Below are 16710 nucleotides of genomic sequence, written 5' to 3' on the forward strand. Positions count from 1 at the left end.
CAGGCGCGTGCAACCATGCCCAGCTAATTTCTTTTAATAGAGACGGGGTTTCACCATGTTGGCCAGGATGGTCTTGGTCTCTTGACTTCATGATCCGCCCACATCGGCCTCTCAAAGTGCTGGGATTACAGGCATAAGCCACCAAACCCGGCCCATTTTCAGGAGTTTTGCGAGCCCACTGTCATCATGTTGTTAGTGTGACATCAGATCAGCCATGGTGGGAATATTTACACCATGGAAACTGGCAAATGCTACAAATCAGAAACCACTGCCCCCCTCCCCACAAGCCAATTGTTAAACATTTATGAGTACACCTATGAGCCTCACTCTAAAAGCAGGCTAATGAAACCTGGTTACAAGGCAACAGTTAGAAGTCAGGCAAAATGCGTTTGCCATAGAAGAGTGTGGCACACTTTGAGAATGTCCCATAAAAAAGCTGCTGGAATCCTGGCCATGGGCAGTCCAACCCCTGACTCCCAGGCTGCTCTTGATAATGATCGTGACGACCACCAAGAGCCCTATACATCCTGAAAGCCACAGCGCTCTCTCTCTGCCCAAGCAGGGCAGGACAAGGCCATGTCACTGGGGATGCACCTGCTGCATGTCAACGGCAGGCTTGCTGACCCTCCCAGAAGGCATGTGGTAGATTCCACTCCATTGCCATCACCACTAATTACTGCCCTTGGAGCTACTAAGTCTGCACAAGGATTCAAACCCAGCTCTGTGTCTCCACCATGGTGCCTCTAGGCAGAGCAAAGGCCCGCAGAGTGAGCCAGGACAGTGGGACCATCATGTCTCTTGATCTGTATCCACTCCACTTCTATTAGTGCAGCCTAGGAATGTTCCTAATGGAATATTTTAGAGTTCTATAGAATGAATTTAATTTTCTTTTTCTAGGATTGCATGTACTTCTCTTGGCCAATATCCTGATCTAACTTATCTGAGACTATATTGTGATAACCAGGCTACTAATGGTTCCAAGCGCTTTATCATGAGTAATCTATGAAGCTCGGTCTCAGCACCTTCAACTGAGCTCTGAGAAATTGTGGAAGGGGCAGGACTGAGGTAGACATGTCCGTTGAACAGCCACTGTTTCTGGACTACACACTGATATCACTGTTTAACCCCTTATGAATCTACCTGATGTTGCTTTTTGTTTCCACATCTTCTCTAGCTGGAATCACAGAAGACATTGGACAATGGTTTGCAGCAATTTGAGACCACTCTGCCCCTCACTTCCCTCTGTCTGTAGGTGTGTGATAGCCACAGCCAAGGAAAAAGGCATTGGGGTGAAGGTAAAGAGCGCAAGCCTGGAAGTTTAAGAAAATAAAGGGGGCAGTGAGGCAGCCCCAAATCTCATGACCACTGTTTACCAGCTGTTGGCCTGGGGCCTCTTCTGACCTCCCTGAGCTTCCATTTTATCATCCCCACTTTCTGGAAGGCTCAATGCAGCAAGACATGAAAGGGCTTTGTGAACAGTAGCTATAAGGAATTCTTCTAATTACATTCCATTAAAAATAGCCATTAGCTAAAATAAATACAGAATGTAAATGTTAATAAATGTTGAGAACATTCTCTCACTGCTAGCCACAAGCTCATCTTCAGCTTCTAAACTCAGCCCACTGAATAAAGATTTGTGGTCTTCAGGGTCACAAATCTTTGTCTGTTTGCAGCAACCTCCTTTCCTTGTCACCTCCTGCCTCCCCAGCCTGGCCCACAGGCAGCTTAGCTCACCCCCTCCCCAGCCACATGAGCAGGTGCCCATCATTACCTCTGCTTTCTCTTGCGGGCCCACAGCATCTTTTCTAATCCTCTGCTTATCAGATCTCCTCGCAGTTTGCCATCTAAGGCTTGCCACCAGCTCTGGTGTTTCCTGCAGGCAAGAAGGGAGTCTTATAGTTTCAAAAATACGCCTGTAATCCCACTGTAATCCCAGCACTTTGGAAGGCAGAGGCGGGCAGATCACCTGAGGTCAGGAGTTCAAGACCAGCCTGGCCAACATGGTGAAACCCAGTCTCTACTAAAAAATACAAAAATTAGCAGGGCGTGGTAGTGGGCACCTGTAATCCCAGCTACTCCGGAGGCTGAGGCAGAAAGAATCGCTTGAACCCAGGAGGCGGAGGTTGCAGTGAGCTGAGATCACGCCATTGTACTCCAGCCTGGGCGACAGAGTGAGACTCCATCTCAAAAAAAAAAAAAAAAAGAATAGAATCTTTAAGTGATGAGTAATCCTACCCATCTCTCAATGCCACCTTTGGTTGCCACTAGGAACCCCCATCCCCAGAGTGTTCACCATTTATTCTTTCACTCATTCACTGCACATCCATCAAACGCCTTCTGCAGCCTCATCAAGATGCAACCTCTGCCCTCAAGGGGCCAAGTCTATGGGATCACAGACAGAAGAAGGCTGACGGGTTGGGGGAGTCATTTGAGCAAAGGGAGCCCTTGGGGCACTCACGAAGGAATGGGATCTGTGCACTGACTTATATACTGGCTGCCTCCCCCACTGGGATGAATGCTCTACGCAAGCAGGGCTTTGTCTCTTACCCTCCACGTAGCCCTAGTACCTAAGAGAGAGGACACAGTGGGAGCTCCACAACTGCTTTATGCATATACAAATACAGAAGTTGGGAAAGTACAGGCGAAGCCTGGAAGGTGGGCTAGGCAGGGAGCCCTAAAGCCATGAAGGTGCGTGGTCCTAGACTGAAGGAGAGGGCGTTGGAGAGTGTTGCCCGGGACAGTGGGAGGTGTCAAGTCAAGCCAATAAAGGATGTGCTAGATTCATTCCCCCTGCCTTGGCGGCTCACACCTGCCCAGGTGGTGGTGGAGATGGAGCCTCTTCCACACTGGGCCAGGCAGGCTCTCTCCCAGGAGTCTAACTCCTGGAGCAGAGAAGGGCGGTCTTCTGAAGGCAGCACCCGAGAGGATGCCCAGAGTGCTTCCCTGGCCCTGCCCTTCCTGAGGCCTGAACACTGGCTCTTTCCTGGATTTTGACATGGCCCTCAATACACCCCATTCTTGCTTGGATTAATTATTCAGTTCCCATTGCTTGAAACCCAAGACTCATAACTGATGTAATGGCCGGATGCTAGCTGCTGGGGACACAAGAATAGTGCATGCCCTGCCCTCAGAGATTGGGTTAGTGGCCTGGGACTCCAGAGTCATCCAGGCTGCCTGGCCATGAGGCTGGGCAAAGAAAGGCCATGCTCATGCCCATGGTGACATTGACCTGAAGCCCTCTTGCCTCGTCCCAGCTTGGCCTGTCCATCTCTCCCCACTGGCCTCCCAAACTAAGCTGGCTGAAGGGGAAGCACCAAAAACAAGGTCCACAGGGGTGGTAGGCAGGCAGAAGTGGCCTCCCCGCAGCCACACACGTTCCTACTCCAGAGTCACCTTGAATACTTGCCACCTGCATGTCCGTGCACGCAGGCAGGCAGCACACTGGGAAAACCAGGCTGTGAAACCTGGTTTTATTTTTAATATTATTAATAATAGTAATATGATTGGCTCCTAATATTCCATGGAGGAGCGTAGCATAGAGCATGTAACTGTCATCCTGTCACTGGACATTCCGTTTGGCAGAGGTGGCCTCCTTCTGGCTCCCTCTTGTTCCTCTGACCAGCCCACACCCAGCCCTCTGACCACGCCAACAACCAGACCTCTGACCCCCTAACATGCAGCCAGCCCTCTGACTGCGGTCCACAACCCACTTCCTGACTATACTGGGCCCCAAGGCCACTAGGAAGGCTCTTCGACACTGTGGCCTCCTGCCCACACCCGCAGATGTTCCCTCTTCCCCACCCTCCCCCTCACCCTGGTCAGACTCTATTCACCCTCAGCAGCGCTTCTTGGATTTTGGGGTCAGATACTCTGATAAAAAGTATCTCTGATAAGGAAAACATTACCCCTTTTCTCAGGACAAATGCTATCTACACAGTCATGATGGTTCAGCAGGCTCTCGGGCTCCCAGATGCCCTCCTGGCCTCCTCTGCATCCTTGCTGAGGCTGTGAGCTCTGCATCCTGGTGCAATGTTTTCATCCTGGCCATGGCTTTCCTTGCAGCCTCATTCCCCACCTACTCCATCCTCAAGGGGTACTGCTGGCTGCCCCCCAAACCCGCCTTACTCCACACCCCTTCCTGCCTTTCCCCATAAAAAGCCTTTAATGACCAAATTCACACCTGGGGCCCCATCCTAAAGGAGACTGTCTATGCAGAGTTACCCATAATTTAAAAAAAAATGGGCCCAAACTGAATGTCAAGTGACGGGATGACAGTTACATGCTCTATGCTACACCCCTTAGCATGAGGAGCCAGTAAAAATAATATCCACCTGTGCCACGTGTCAATAACATTGAAAGAATAAAATTTAAATGAATAACACTAGCAGGAAATAGAATCTAAGTAATGGGATAAGAATTACATAGGGGGATGTTTGCATGAGCGTTAAAAGGTAAGGAGCAAAATCGCTTCTGCTGTAAGATTCTGAAATGCAGAATGTAGCAAGGCTGTATCCACAGCGTGCTCACTCCACACTCGACACACAAATACACATATTTACATGCACAACACACTCACACATTTACATACCAACACACAAACACATGCTCCCACACTTGCAGACACACACTTGTAAAACCCAGCAGAGAAACACATTCTGGAGGAAGAAATGTAACAGGATGCTAGCAGTCATTTTTCTAGGTCATAAAACCATGGATATTTCTTTCTCTTCTTCCTCTTTTTATGCATTTTTTTTTTTACGTTTTCTTTAATGGGCATGCATGAAATATTTATGGCTCTGGGTGAACTTATTTTCTTAAGATTCTATTTAAAAAATAAATTGGTAACAAAATTAAAAAGTATGGACAAAATACATGGGCCTCCCATGACCTTGAGGACTCATGGGGACCCTTGTGGACAGGGACGTGCCCCGGGAGGCAGCCCCTCCACGGCACTCACCTCCGCCTGCCCACGTCGGCCTGCTCCGCTCCGCCATCGCTCTCAGCTGCGTGGTCCACATGTCTCTCGGTGGCCGAATCCAGCAGGGCCAGCAGCTGAGGCTGTGAGGCTGTGGGCAGTACCACACTCAGGAGCCGGCGAAGCGTGGCCCCGGGCACCATGGCCATCCTCGCCAGGTACGATGCCAGTCTCAGCTCCTACAGGAAACAACAGAGGGAGTTCAGACCCTCGCCGCCTCTCAACTTGAACCATCATTTTTAATTTATCACATTCTGAGGACATTCTGTCCTGGAGTGATAAATATTTCAGTAGCTTAGTCTGGAAAACATGTTCCCGAACTTTCAGAGCTGTCAAAAAAAACCTATTTGGTCAGCAACCTTGGCTCCCCAGGACGCTTCTAAAGCCTCCATCCATCCCGTCCAACTGCTCTCAAGTCACTGGGGCAGTACCCAAATCCCCACAGCAAAAGCCCTGCAGCAGGGTGATTCAAAATGAATGTACTTTCTCCTCCTCCTCACATTCTGTGAGGCCATTAGGCACCAGGCGAGCAGTGCAGGCTCTGGAAACAACAGAAGTGTCCCTAAACCAGTGGACAATTGAAGACACTGTGCTATACCCATGCCACAGGATACCACTCTGCAGTCAGAAGAAAGAACTGGAAGGATCCCAGGGGCATTATGCCGAGTGGAAACAGCCAGTCTCCAAAGGTCACGTGCTGCGTGATTCCATGCATGTAACCACCTGGGCGTGATGAGACTTGGAACTGGAGAGCGGCAGTGGATGCCAGGTGTGGGGCAGGGGAGGTGGGTGTGGCCTTAAAGGGGCAGCCCAGGGTGGCCTTTGTGGTGGTTGACAGCTCTGTGTCTTGATGGTGCTGCTGGTTACATGAATGTGCATAGGATAAAATGACAGAGAACTATACGTACATTTTATATCGATGTCAACTTCCTGGTTCTGATGCTGTCTGACAGGAACCATTGGGGAAAATTGAGTGAAACTCTCTGAAACTCTATACTAGCTTTGTAACTTCTTGTGAATCTAAAATAACTTCAAAATTAAAAATTTTGGCCAGGCATGGGGGCTCACATCTGTAATCCCAGCACTTTGGACAGCTGGAGAGGAAAAGAGGCCCCAGGACAGAGCTATTGGGTGCCCAAAGGCCATGAGAAGGAGCAGTGTCCAGCCAGGGGCCTGTGCAGGGGCAGGCAGGGGTGGGAGGGAACAAGTCCAGGTGCCGGAAGCCAAGGAGAGAACGTGTTCAGAAGGGTGGGCTGGGGGTTCAGAGACCACAGAGAGGTCAGGAGACACAAACACAGGGACTCGACCCCTTGGAAACATGGGGTCGCTGTGACCTTGGTAAGTGCTTTCAGTGAAGGCACGAGGAAAGGTGCTGTTCCAAATACCAAAGCTCCTTCCACGTCCTGACGCTCCCCATCCATGGCCTCCCTCCACTGTCACACTGAAATACTTGTTCTTCCCTGACCGTCCTGCTCGCCCAGGCCACTGAGCCCTTACCCATGAGCTTCCTTCAGCCTAGAGTACATTTCTCCTAAGCTACTCTCTGTCTCTCTCCAGCGCATTCTTTTGGACTCTACATGAGTCTTCCCTGACCCCATCTTCTGGGTCAGGTGTCCCTCCTCTGATCTCACATTGGTTTTAACCAACTCTGCTGTAACTGTCCCATTTCTAGTGTGCCTCTGGAACTAGGCTCTTAGGATGAAGTCAGTGACACACGCTTCTCTGTCCCCAGCACTTAACCCCATTCCTGGAACAGAGAGGGTGACCAACAGACATTTGTTGGATAAACAGTGACTTCATAAACACCCTGCAGATTCACCTCTTCCTGAGGCAGGGTCTAAACCTTTATAGCTGGGATCCCACCAGTCAATATGGGGACAGGCCAGCTCATTATCACAGCCCTTCCAGCTCCAGTGGTCCCTGATCAGTAATCCTCCAGACAAGTCAATTCACCAGGTCAAGTCTTACTAAAATTGGTGACACAAAAAGCATTCACATGGGTCAAGAGCTTTGAATCTGATGCCACATCTACAGACAGAAATGGACCACAAAGTGTGAAAAGGGAACACTTTTACACTGCTGGCAGGAATGTAAACTAGTTCAACCACTATGGAAAACAGTATGGAGGTTCCTTAAAGAACTAAAAGTAGAATTACCATTCGATCCAGCAGTCCCACTGCTGGGTATATATGCAAGGAAAATAAGTTATTATATGAAAAAGACACATGGACATGCATGTTTATAGCAGCACGATTCACAACTACAAAAATATGGAACCAACCAAAGTGCCCATCAACCAACAAGTGAATAAAGAAAATGTGGTATATATACACCATAGAATACTACTCAGCCATAATATGGAATGAAATAATGGCCTTTGCAGCAACTTGGATGGAGCTGGAGGCCATTATTCTAAGTGAAGAAACTCAGGAATGGAAAACCATATATTGTATGTTCTCACTTATGAGGAGGAGCTGAGCTATGAGGATGCAAAGGCATAAGAATGATAAAATGGACTTTGGGGACTCAGGGGGAAGAATGAGGGGGATGAAGGATAAAAGACTACACATTGGGCCGGGCGTCGTGGCTCACACCTGTAATCCCAGCACTTTGGGAGGCTGAGGCGGGTGGACTGCCTGAGGTCAGGAGTTTGAGACCAGTCTGGCCAACGTGGTGAAACCCCGTCTCTACTGAAAATACAAAAAAATTAGCCGGGCGTGGTGGCGTGTGCCTGTAATCCCAGCTACTCAGGAGGCCGAGGCAGGGGAATCGCTTGAACCAGGGAGGTGGAGGTTGCAGTGAGCCAAGATCGCGCCACTGCACTCCAGCCTGGGTGACAGAGTGAGACTCCATCTCAAAAAAAAAAAAAAAAAAAAGACTATACATTGATACAATGTACACTGTTCAGGTGGTGGGTGCACCAAAATCTCAGAAATCACCAATGAAGAACTTATCCATGTAACCAAAAACCACCTGTCCCCAATTAAAATATAAAAAAAAAATTAAAGAAATGGAACATAAAGCAACACAGGGACACAGCTCTCTAGGCAAAGGAGAGTGACAGAGAGGCCCAGAGTGGCCAGTGGACAGCCTCTCTCCCCACTTCCTCCCTGCTCCTCTCCACAGGATGAAGGAGCAGCAAGAGGAGTAAGGACAAAGAGAGAAATGGAGGACTGAGCTTCCCTGATGATTCTTTTCTCTAGTACAAAAAGAAAACGGCAAAATATGGGGCTTCCTCCAGTCTGGATGTGCTGGTTCATTTTATGTGTCCATTTGGCTGGGCCACTGTGCCCAGATGTTCAGTTGAGCATTCCTCTTGTTGTTTCTGTGGGGGTGTTTTGGGATGAGATTAACATGTAAATTGGTGGACTCTGAGGGAAGTCGATGGCCTGTCATAATGTGGCTGGCCTCAGCCATCAGCTGAAGGCCTGGAGAGAACAAGAAGGCTGACCAGTCCTGAGCAGAAGATAATCCTTTCAGCAGATGGCCTTGGGATTCGAACTGCAACTCCTTCCTGAGTCTCCAGCCTGCAGGCCAACCCTGCAGAATTTGGACTCATCGGCCTCCACAATCACGGCAGCCAATTCCTTCAATAAATCTCTTTCTCTACAGAGATGCATCCTATCAGTTCTGTTTCTCTGGAGGACTCTTATTAATACACAGGAGTTGGGAAGAAAGAAATTCAGCTGAGTAGATATTATTGGGCAGACTATACAAAGCACCAAGTTGGGGACAGAGAAAAAAAACAATCCTACCTGGTGCCTGCTGCCCAGAGCTTCCGGTCTGGCAGTATTTATTCTGCATAGAGCCAATTCTTCAGCAGAGTGCTATTGTTTGAACATTTGTGTCTCTTCCAAAACTCATGTTGAAACTTAACCACAAATGCCACTATTAGGAAGGGGGGCCTGCTGAAGGTGATGAGGTCATAAGGGCTCTGCCTTCAAGAATGGGATTAGTGTCTTATAAAAGGGCTCCAGGGAACTAGCTTAGCCCTTTTTGCCTTCCCATCCCCTCTGCCACATAAGGACCCGGCTTTCCTGTCCTCCAAAGGATGCAGCAACAATGCACCATCTTGGAAGCAGAGAGCAGTTCTCACCAGACACTGCATCTGCAGGTACCTTGATTTCGGACTTCCCAGCCTCCAGAATTATGAGAAAATTGATAAAGAATTTCTATTCTTTATAAATTATCCAGTCTAGGAATTTTGTGTAGTAGCAGAAACAGACTGAGATGCATACAGAGTTCACAATTTAAAAGGGCCCAGAATCTAGAAATGAACCTGGTGAAATTCTGCTGGTGACACTGGCTTTCTGTGAAGTCTCAAAGTGACAAAGATAAAGGTGGGGGAATCAAAGTTGAGAGTGGGAGATGGCTCAGTTACGCAGAGACATAGGCCGGGGTGGTCATCTGCTTCAGATCCTTTACAGTCGGTCAGGAAGAGCAGAGTATGTGCATCACCAAGCTGGGCTGAATCCCAAGCCCCCCACGAGCAGTGGCGGGCCCTCATGCCCTCACCACCTCTCTTTGCCTCAGTCCCTTTATTCATAAAACAGGATAATACTGCCTGTTTCCCATCTTTCTGCAAGGATTAAATGAATAACAGGCATGGCAGGTGTTCAGGAAGTACCAGCTCCTCCCCTGCCCTGTTTGGACACTGTCACTCCAGTGCTAACACTGGCACCTTGTTTGGCACAGTCAACAGAATAATGATCCCTCCCCAAAATGTCCCATCCTGGGACCTGCGAAGATGTCACCTTATAAGGCGAAGGGTACTTTGCAAGTGGGAGTAAGGTCAGGGGCCTTGAGATAGGGTGGGAAAGTGGTTATCTTAGATTATCCAGGTGGTTCCAATATAATTACCATGTGGGTCCTTAAAAGTAGAGACCTTTCCTGCTGTGTTAGGTCAGAGAGAGATGTGAGGAGGATGGAAGAAGGGCCAGAGAGATGCAATTTTGCTGGCTTTGAAGATGAAGAAAGGAGGCCATGAGCCAAGGAATGTAGGTGCCACTGGAAGCCAGCAAAGAAACAAGGACCTCAGTCCTACAACCACAATGGGCTGAACCCTGCCAATTACTTAAGTGAGCAGGAAACAGATTCTCCCCCTAAAGCTTCCGAAAGGCAGGCAAATCCGCCAACACCTTGATTTTTGCCTGGAGAAACCGATGTTGGATTTCTGACCTCCAGAACTTTAAGGTAAGTTTGTAGCTGTGATAAGCTGCTGTTTGTGGTCATTTGTGACAGCAGTGATAGGAAACGAATTCATTCAGGAAGCTCGGTGTGCCTGTGGATGCAGCCAGCTGGACGCCTAAAAGCGCCCTAACCCCTCCTTCCTGCTGACTCCCTTCTTAGAGGCTGGGGGGCAAAGTGACTCGCACCTCCCCTGCAGCTAGCAAGGCCCACGGGTCAGCTCTCAGGTTGCGAGGGAAACCTGCTGCAGGGACTTGGAGGCATTTGCTTCCTTGATGAGAAAGAACGGGCATGGTGGCAGTTCTTTGACCTCTTCCCTCCTTGCTCTGAAAGTTATTGCAGCTGGAACTGTGAGAAGGAACTGTGGAAAGAATCACAGAACATGACCCTGATGTCACTGCATCAGCGAGCACCTCTCTGGAGTCGTGTGGCTCGCATTCACCACTGTCTGAAGTTGTATTTCCTGCTACTTACAGACACCAGAAGCACAGGAAGCCCATCGCAGGATGCGTATAAAACCCGATCGGTAGCAGACAGTCAGGTACATGACTGCATAAGGCTCCGTGCACAGCCTCAGGGCTCTGTATCAGGAAGGGAGGTGAGTCTGCAACTCTGGCCAAGGATGAGAAAGGTTGGCTGATCTCCACTCAGAGAGGTGTAGTGTGGGGTGCAGTATCACTGATTGATGGCTCTGGCCCAGTTTTCTCTTACCCACTTTCTTCCCGGTAGAACCTACTTTTTGTATATTAAACTTAGTTAAAGATTGAGAAGAAGGACAATATTTGGGTGCCTGCCAAATCACAGAAAAGACATCGACTGGGGCACATGTGATTATGGTTGCGGTTGCTGCCATTAGCACTGATTGAGCACCCTCTGTGTGCTGGGCCCATGCTAGAGCTTCGCACACATCTGCTCTGCAGGTTCCAAGGCTGGCTTTTCATCACCATCCTGGAGGTGAGGAAATGTGGATTCTGAGAAAAAGATGAAGTGACGTGCTGGCAAGGGGTGGCCTCAGACCCTGCCAGTACCTTCTCACCTGGCTGCACAGGGTTGCAAAGGTGTCTGCCTCCATGTTTTCCAACAAGTCTTCTAGCACGACACTGTTCTGTTGTTCCTCTCTCAAACTGGAGTGAAAATAAAATATACGTAAGTTCAGTTTTGTTATAAAGTGATACTATGAGATCATCTAGTTATTTAAATAACAAAGAAGCACACATCTCAGCCATATGATTTTAAAAATATGTCCATAGAAAGAGATGGCCAGAAAGACTGCCTTCCTTTTCTTGCCTAGGCTACTTTGCACATAACATGTCAAGGAGGGTTTCCTCAGAAGGAGGCTCCTCGAAGTGAAAAGTTTCATGGGAGCTATAAGGAGACTTTCCTATGGCTTTACAGGGTGATCTCTGTGATGCTGCTTTGAAAACTCTGCATCAGTCCTCATGGTGATGACCAAGAAGACCAAGATCTGGGGTCTACACCCACCATGTGCCCTTGGATTGATGCAGACCCAGAACAAAAGGATGACACCTTTTCACATGAGGCTTCCTGACGCCCACACGAGGGGGTCTGCTTAACACATGCCTTAGCTAATGCAAGTCAGCTTTGTGGATCTGCCTCGTGCTCTTCCTGGCTAATACACCCCAGACCTTCTGCAAGTGCAACTCAAATCAAAAGTTTGAACACAAGCCATCTCCTCCAGGAGCATATGAATACTATATGCCCTAAAATCCCAGGCTAAATCAAGCCAATGCCTTTGAGCATTTCCCTCCAACCACGCAGATGGGGCCCCCTCACAATTATTTCGATGGGACAGAACTGCACTTTGATGCATTTACACAGAAGAGCGTGATAGGATGAATGAAAATCATCTGTAATTTCACTGCCCAGAAATCACATCCACTGAAATTTGGTCTATTTCCTTCCAATTAGCGTGTGCGTGTGTTTGCAAAAATTAACCACGCTGTGTATAGACTTTGCCTCCAGTCCTTTCCATGTCCATTTTTTATTCACAGTGGAAAAGTATGAAGCTGTTAAAAATTGTGTTTTTCCAAGGATTCTTAATGCCACAGCCAAGGCTAAGTGCCTAATGTGAATTGAAAAACAACGCAAAGAACAACAACAACAAAAAGACTGGGGGTCTGTCTGTTTTATAATTTTACAAAAGCAGGATATAAAATACTATGCTTATGGTGAAATTGCAATAAGGCCTGTAGTCTAGTTCACTGTCTTGTGACAATGTCAATTCACATACCATGATTATGTCAGATGTTTCCAAGAAGGAAAGCTGGGGGAAGGGTACATGGCACTCTCCCTACTACCTTTGCAACTTCTTGTGAGTCTATATTTCAAAATAAAAAGTTTAAAAATATTACGTTTGGTAAAACTTCAATGATATTAAATTTAAAAAAGAAGGGCATCAGGGAAGAAAGAGTATGCTACAAAGCCAGCAGCTCGTGTTGGAGCAATGGGATGACACCTTAGGCAAGAGGGTGAGAGCCCAGGTGGGTATGGGTGGGCTGAGTTGGAGATGCCAGGTTCTCCAGGACTGCTGGGGACTAATATCTTTGAGTGCTACGGGGCACACGGCATACCACTGCTGATGTTGCTCCAGTAATGTCTGGCTCTTGCTCAGGGCTTGGTGCAGGACAGTAGAGACCTGCCTTTCAGAATCCACCTCCCCAGGTTCGTTCAGAATCCCGGGCCCATCGGCCACCCACTGCTGCCAGCTCGCCAGGGCCTGCTGCTGCTGGGCTGCCTCCTGCTGCACCAGCTGGTCCTCCAGCTTCCTCTCCAACTCCTGGAGCTCCTACACAAGGAAGGGGCAGAGGGTAAGCACCACTGCACAAGGCGGGTGGGGTGGAGGACAAAATCTGACCTCCTGGGTGTCTTGCTACAAGTCTGGCATGACTCTGTCTTGCCTGGTTCCCCATCCAGCTGTGCCACATGGTGCAATGTGAGTGCACCACGATCTCTCACCCCTGTGTCACCTCCATGCCTCCACATAGGCCGTTCCCTCCACCTGCAGTGCCTTTCTCTGTCTGCCTGACCAATCCCCAGTCTTCTTTCACCCCTCCGCTTAAGAAGAAACTCCTTGGTGAAGGGCTCCTCAGCGAAAGGATCCCTGAGTTCCTTGGGAGACACAGATGCCCTCTCCTCATGTGCCCACTCACTACCCCTTGCATGCACTCTGTTTCCTGTCACCTGAAATCACTGTCCTGTGCCTTTCTGCTACAGTGTGAGCTCTTTGAGGGCAGGGCTGTGTCTCCTTCTCCCTGCCTGCAAAGTGCCTGGTGGCTGGCACCTGTCACTGCATATGGTGGGGTATCTGCATGCACCCGGCATGGACGAAAGCCAGGCTGGAACACAGCAACTATGGCTAACACCACCAGTACCATCAGGGTGCCGAGCACTGCTCTGTGTACTTTCCATACGTGAATCTCACTGAACACTTACAACAATCCTTCAGAATACATACTCTAAGTTCTCTTGCTTTATAGGTAAAGGAACTGAGGCAGACAGAGTTAAATTAATTTGTCAGATGATGTAACTATTGAGTGGCAGATCCTGAATTTCAAGCCAGGCTAGCTGGCTCTGAAATTGCAGTCTTAACCACTAAGCTACATTGTCTCTCCTTGGCCAAACAGAAGTAATCTGCATTCTTAGGCCACCAGGATTAGATAATCTCACACAAGAAACTGTCCACAGCCTGCTTAGGTGGGTTGTGGGCGGAGGCAGGAGGGCCCCAGGCCTTGGAGAATGCAGGCACATTTAACCCAGTATTTACCAGATTGGTCAGTACTATAATTAGGACTGGAAGGTGGACAGGGTGTTAAATCCTAAGAGGCCTTGGTTGGACTTCACCATGAGAGGGTGGTCCTTGATCCTCCTAAATAGGTACAAAATGGTCTAATTTTCTGCAGAAAGGCCAAAGCTTGCATCAAACACTCAAAAGGGTCTCAAAGCCCCCTAAAGACTCTGAAACACTATTCAAGAACCATGACAGAAGAAAATCCGCCAGAGATAGACTGCATCTCTCTATAGCATGGACACCATCGCACGGAGAACCTTCTATCCCCCCCAAGCATTTGGGTGCTGGGCCTTCGAGAACTCCTGAGCAGGGCTCCTAGCATGCTGAGATGTGGAACTATGACCATCCCTCTCGCTGCAGCATCCCACAAGGAAACACAGCCCAGTGGAGTTCCAGCAGTGTATGCTGTCATGCTGTCAGCATGGCCAGGAGCTGGAGACAGAGACCCCACGTCTACCCAGATGCCAGCCCCAGCCCACCTCAAGAAGGGAGGGTCACACCTGAGCCTGTCTGTGTCATCAGAGGAACGGTGGAACACACAGAGCTTTTCAAGCACCAGGAGAGCCCTGGTTAGGAATGGAATAGAGGTGGAAATGTGTCCCACGTTTATAATCTGCTGATGGTGTCCCCAAACCCCTGCACCCTTACACCTGCCTGCCACCTGGAACAACTTGAATCCAAAACTTGGTTCTGGAATTGTCTTCCCTAATAGCTGATTTCCTCACCAGATTTTAAATGCTGAGGTCAGGGACTCAGGAGCATCGTTGACATGTTCTCCTTTCTCCCAGCAGTCAGCACAGTGCATAGCTCATCAAAGAAGAAACAGCAACAATAACAACAATGATGATGATGATGGGGATGACAGCAGCTGGCATTTACTGAATGCCAATATGGTGCCAGATTGTATCAGCAGATTATAAAAGTTACATGAATTAGTTGGTTTAATCTTCACAAAATAACACAAGATAGGAATTTTTCATCATCTAATTTTATGTATAAGGTAACTGAGGCAAGAGAGTATAACGAAATCTCCTGAAATCACAGAGCTGGGCAAGAGGCAGAGTCAGGGGTGATTTCAGGTGTCTCTGACTCTGGGTCCCATCACTCAGCTCTAACGCCCCTAGTAATCACTCCACAGGTATCTGCTGAATGAATGAATACATACATAGATGTTGATGATGGATGGATGGAAGTGTGGATGGAGGGAGGGAAAAGGGAAGGAGGGGAAGAAAGACACACACAGAAACGGGGAGAGAGAGAGAGATAATAGATTGGGGGATTCAGGGGTGAATGAGACATGAAAACTCACTGTCTAGTGAGGGAGAGACTCATGTCAACAGTTGCAGAGATGGGAAATGCCATCATCTGCTTCGGGATGGAGGGTTACGGGAGCTGGAAGAGACCACCTCTGCCAGAGGGAATCATGGATGGCTTCACAGAGGAAGTAACATTTGGGTTTGTCTTAGAATATAGATAGGAGTTTGCAAGGAGGTAGAGCAGAAGCATTCTAGGCAGAGATCCTTCAAAGGGACCCATGCCTGAATGTGTCTCCAATGCTCAGGGGGCAGCAAGAAGGTCCAGGGGCTAAAATGCAGGATCTGAGAGAGGGAGTGGTGAAAGGTGGGATTTTTAAATGTAGAGCTGGGGATGGGGCTGTGAATCATCACTTTTATTTTTCAGAAACATCCCCTTGGCCACCGTGCAGGGGGGTAACTAGAGTAGGGAGAAAGGGAGGTAGGCAGAAATTGAGTTTAGGACAGGAACATGGGCTTTGGAGGCAGGTTTAAAGTCTGCTTTTCAGCTGTGGGACCTTGGTGAAATGATTTAACCTTCCTAAGCCTCAGCTCTTTCATCTGTAGAATGGGTATGAAAATGTCATGGGATGGACATGAGGTTTAAACACTTAGCCCACTGCTTTGGACATAATGAGAGCTCCATTGATGCTGGTTAATATCAAGGTTATTTCTGTTCTTCCGGTCTAGATACATCAGACTAGTGAAGCTGGGCAGCGAAAGGTGGAAAGCAGAAAGCTCAGGTAGAATCAACAGATGGTGGCCAGTGGTCCATAGGGAGAAAGGCAGAGGGAAGATCAGAAGATGCCGAGGCTGGGCGTGGTAGCTCACACCTGTAATCCCAGCACTTTGGGAGGCCAAGGTGGGAGGATCACTTGAGGTCAGGAGTTCGAGACCAGCCTGGCCAACATGGTGAAGCCTTGTCTCTACTAAAAATACAAAATTAGCTGGGCATGATAGTGCATGCCTATAGTCCCAGCTACTCGGGAGGCTGGGGGAGGACAATCAATTGAACCCAGGAGGTGGAGGTTGCAGTCAGCTAAGATCACACCACTGCACACCAGCCTGGGTGACAGTGACTGTCTCAAAACAATAAACAAAGAAGAAGAAGAGGAAGATGCCAGGTGAGGCTTGGGAAAGTAAACACACAGCAATTTAAACTGAAATGCAAATACAGTGGGTACCATTTGTTTGGGGTCACATTATCTGTTAGGAGTAAGTCCACCCCATTTAAATTTGCCTATCATTGTCACTTGGCCTTCTGATCCAACTGAGCCTTGCATATGTTCCAATTTTGCAAAATGAGTCTAAATCTTTCATCAGATGAGGTGCACTTGATATAGTTTTCTTAGGAGTAATTTCTTCCAAAGCATTCTATTTCATGCTTTTTTAATTCTCCTGAATGTTTAACAGCCTAAAAGCCCATTCCCAATAGGAAAGTGGTTTAC

At 48.4% G+C, this 16710-nt stretch overlaps 1 protein-coding gene across 7 annotated transcripts in view; it reads right to left on the minus strand.

Annotated features, from left to right (window-relative positions):
• Nucleotides 1-16710, minus strand: part of EVC2 (EvC ciliary complex subunit 2) — a 180538-nt gene that overhangs the window by 34476 nt on the left and 129352 nt on the right. For 5 of the 7 annotated variants that reach the window (XM_047449611.1, NM_001166136.2, XM_017007736.2 and 2 more), the window contains 4 exons: nt 12754-12968; nt 11199-11286; nt 4958-5154; nt 1772-1873 (listed from right to left, as the gene is read on the minus strand). In XM_047449611.1, the coding sequence (XP_047305567.1) occupies nt 1772-1873; nt 4958-5154; nt 11199-11286; nt 12754-12968 (602 nt within the window). Of the gene's footprint in view, nt 1-1771; nt 1874-4957; nt 5155-11198; nt 11287-11337; nt 12501-12753; nt 12969-16710 lie in introns of those variants that run through there. The other 2 variants (XM_047449612.1, XM_017007738.2) reach the window with 2 other exon arrangements.

This window comes from Homo sapiens, chromosome 4 (genome assembly GCF_000001405.40).
Source record: "Homo sapiens chromosome 4, GRCh38.p14 Primary Assembly".
Taxonomy (NCBI): Eukaryota; Metazoa; Chordata; class Mammalia; order Primates; family Hominidae; genus Homo; species Homo sapiens.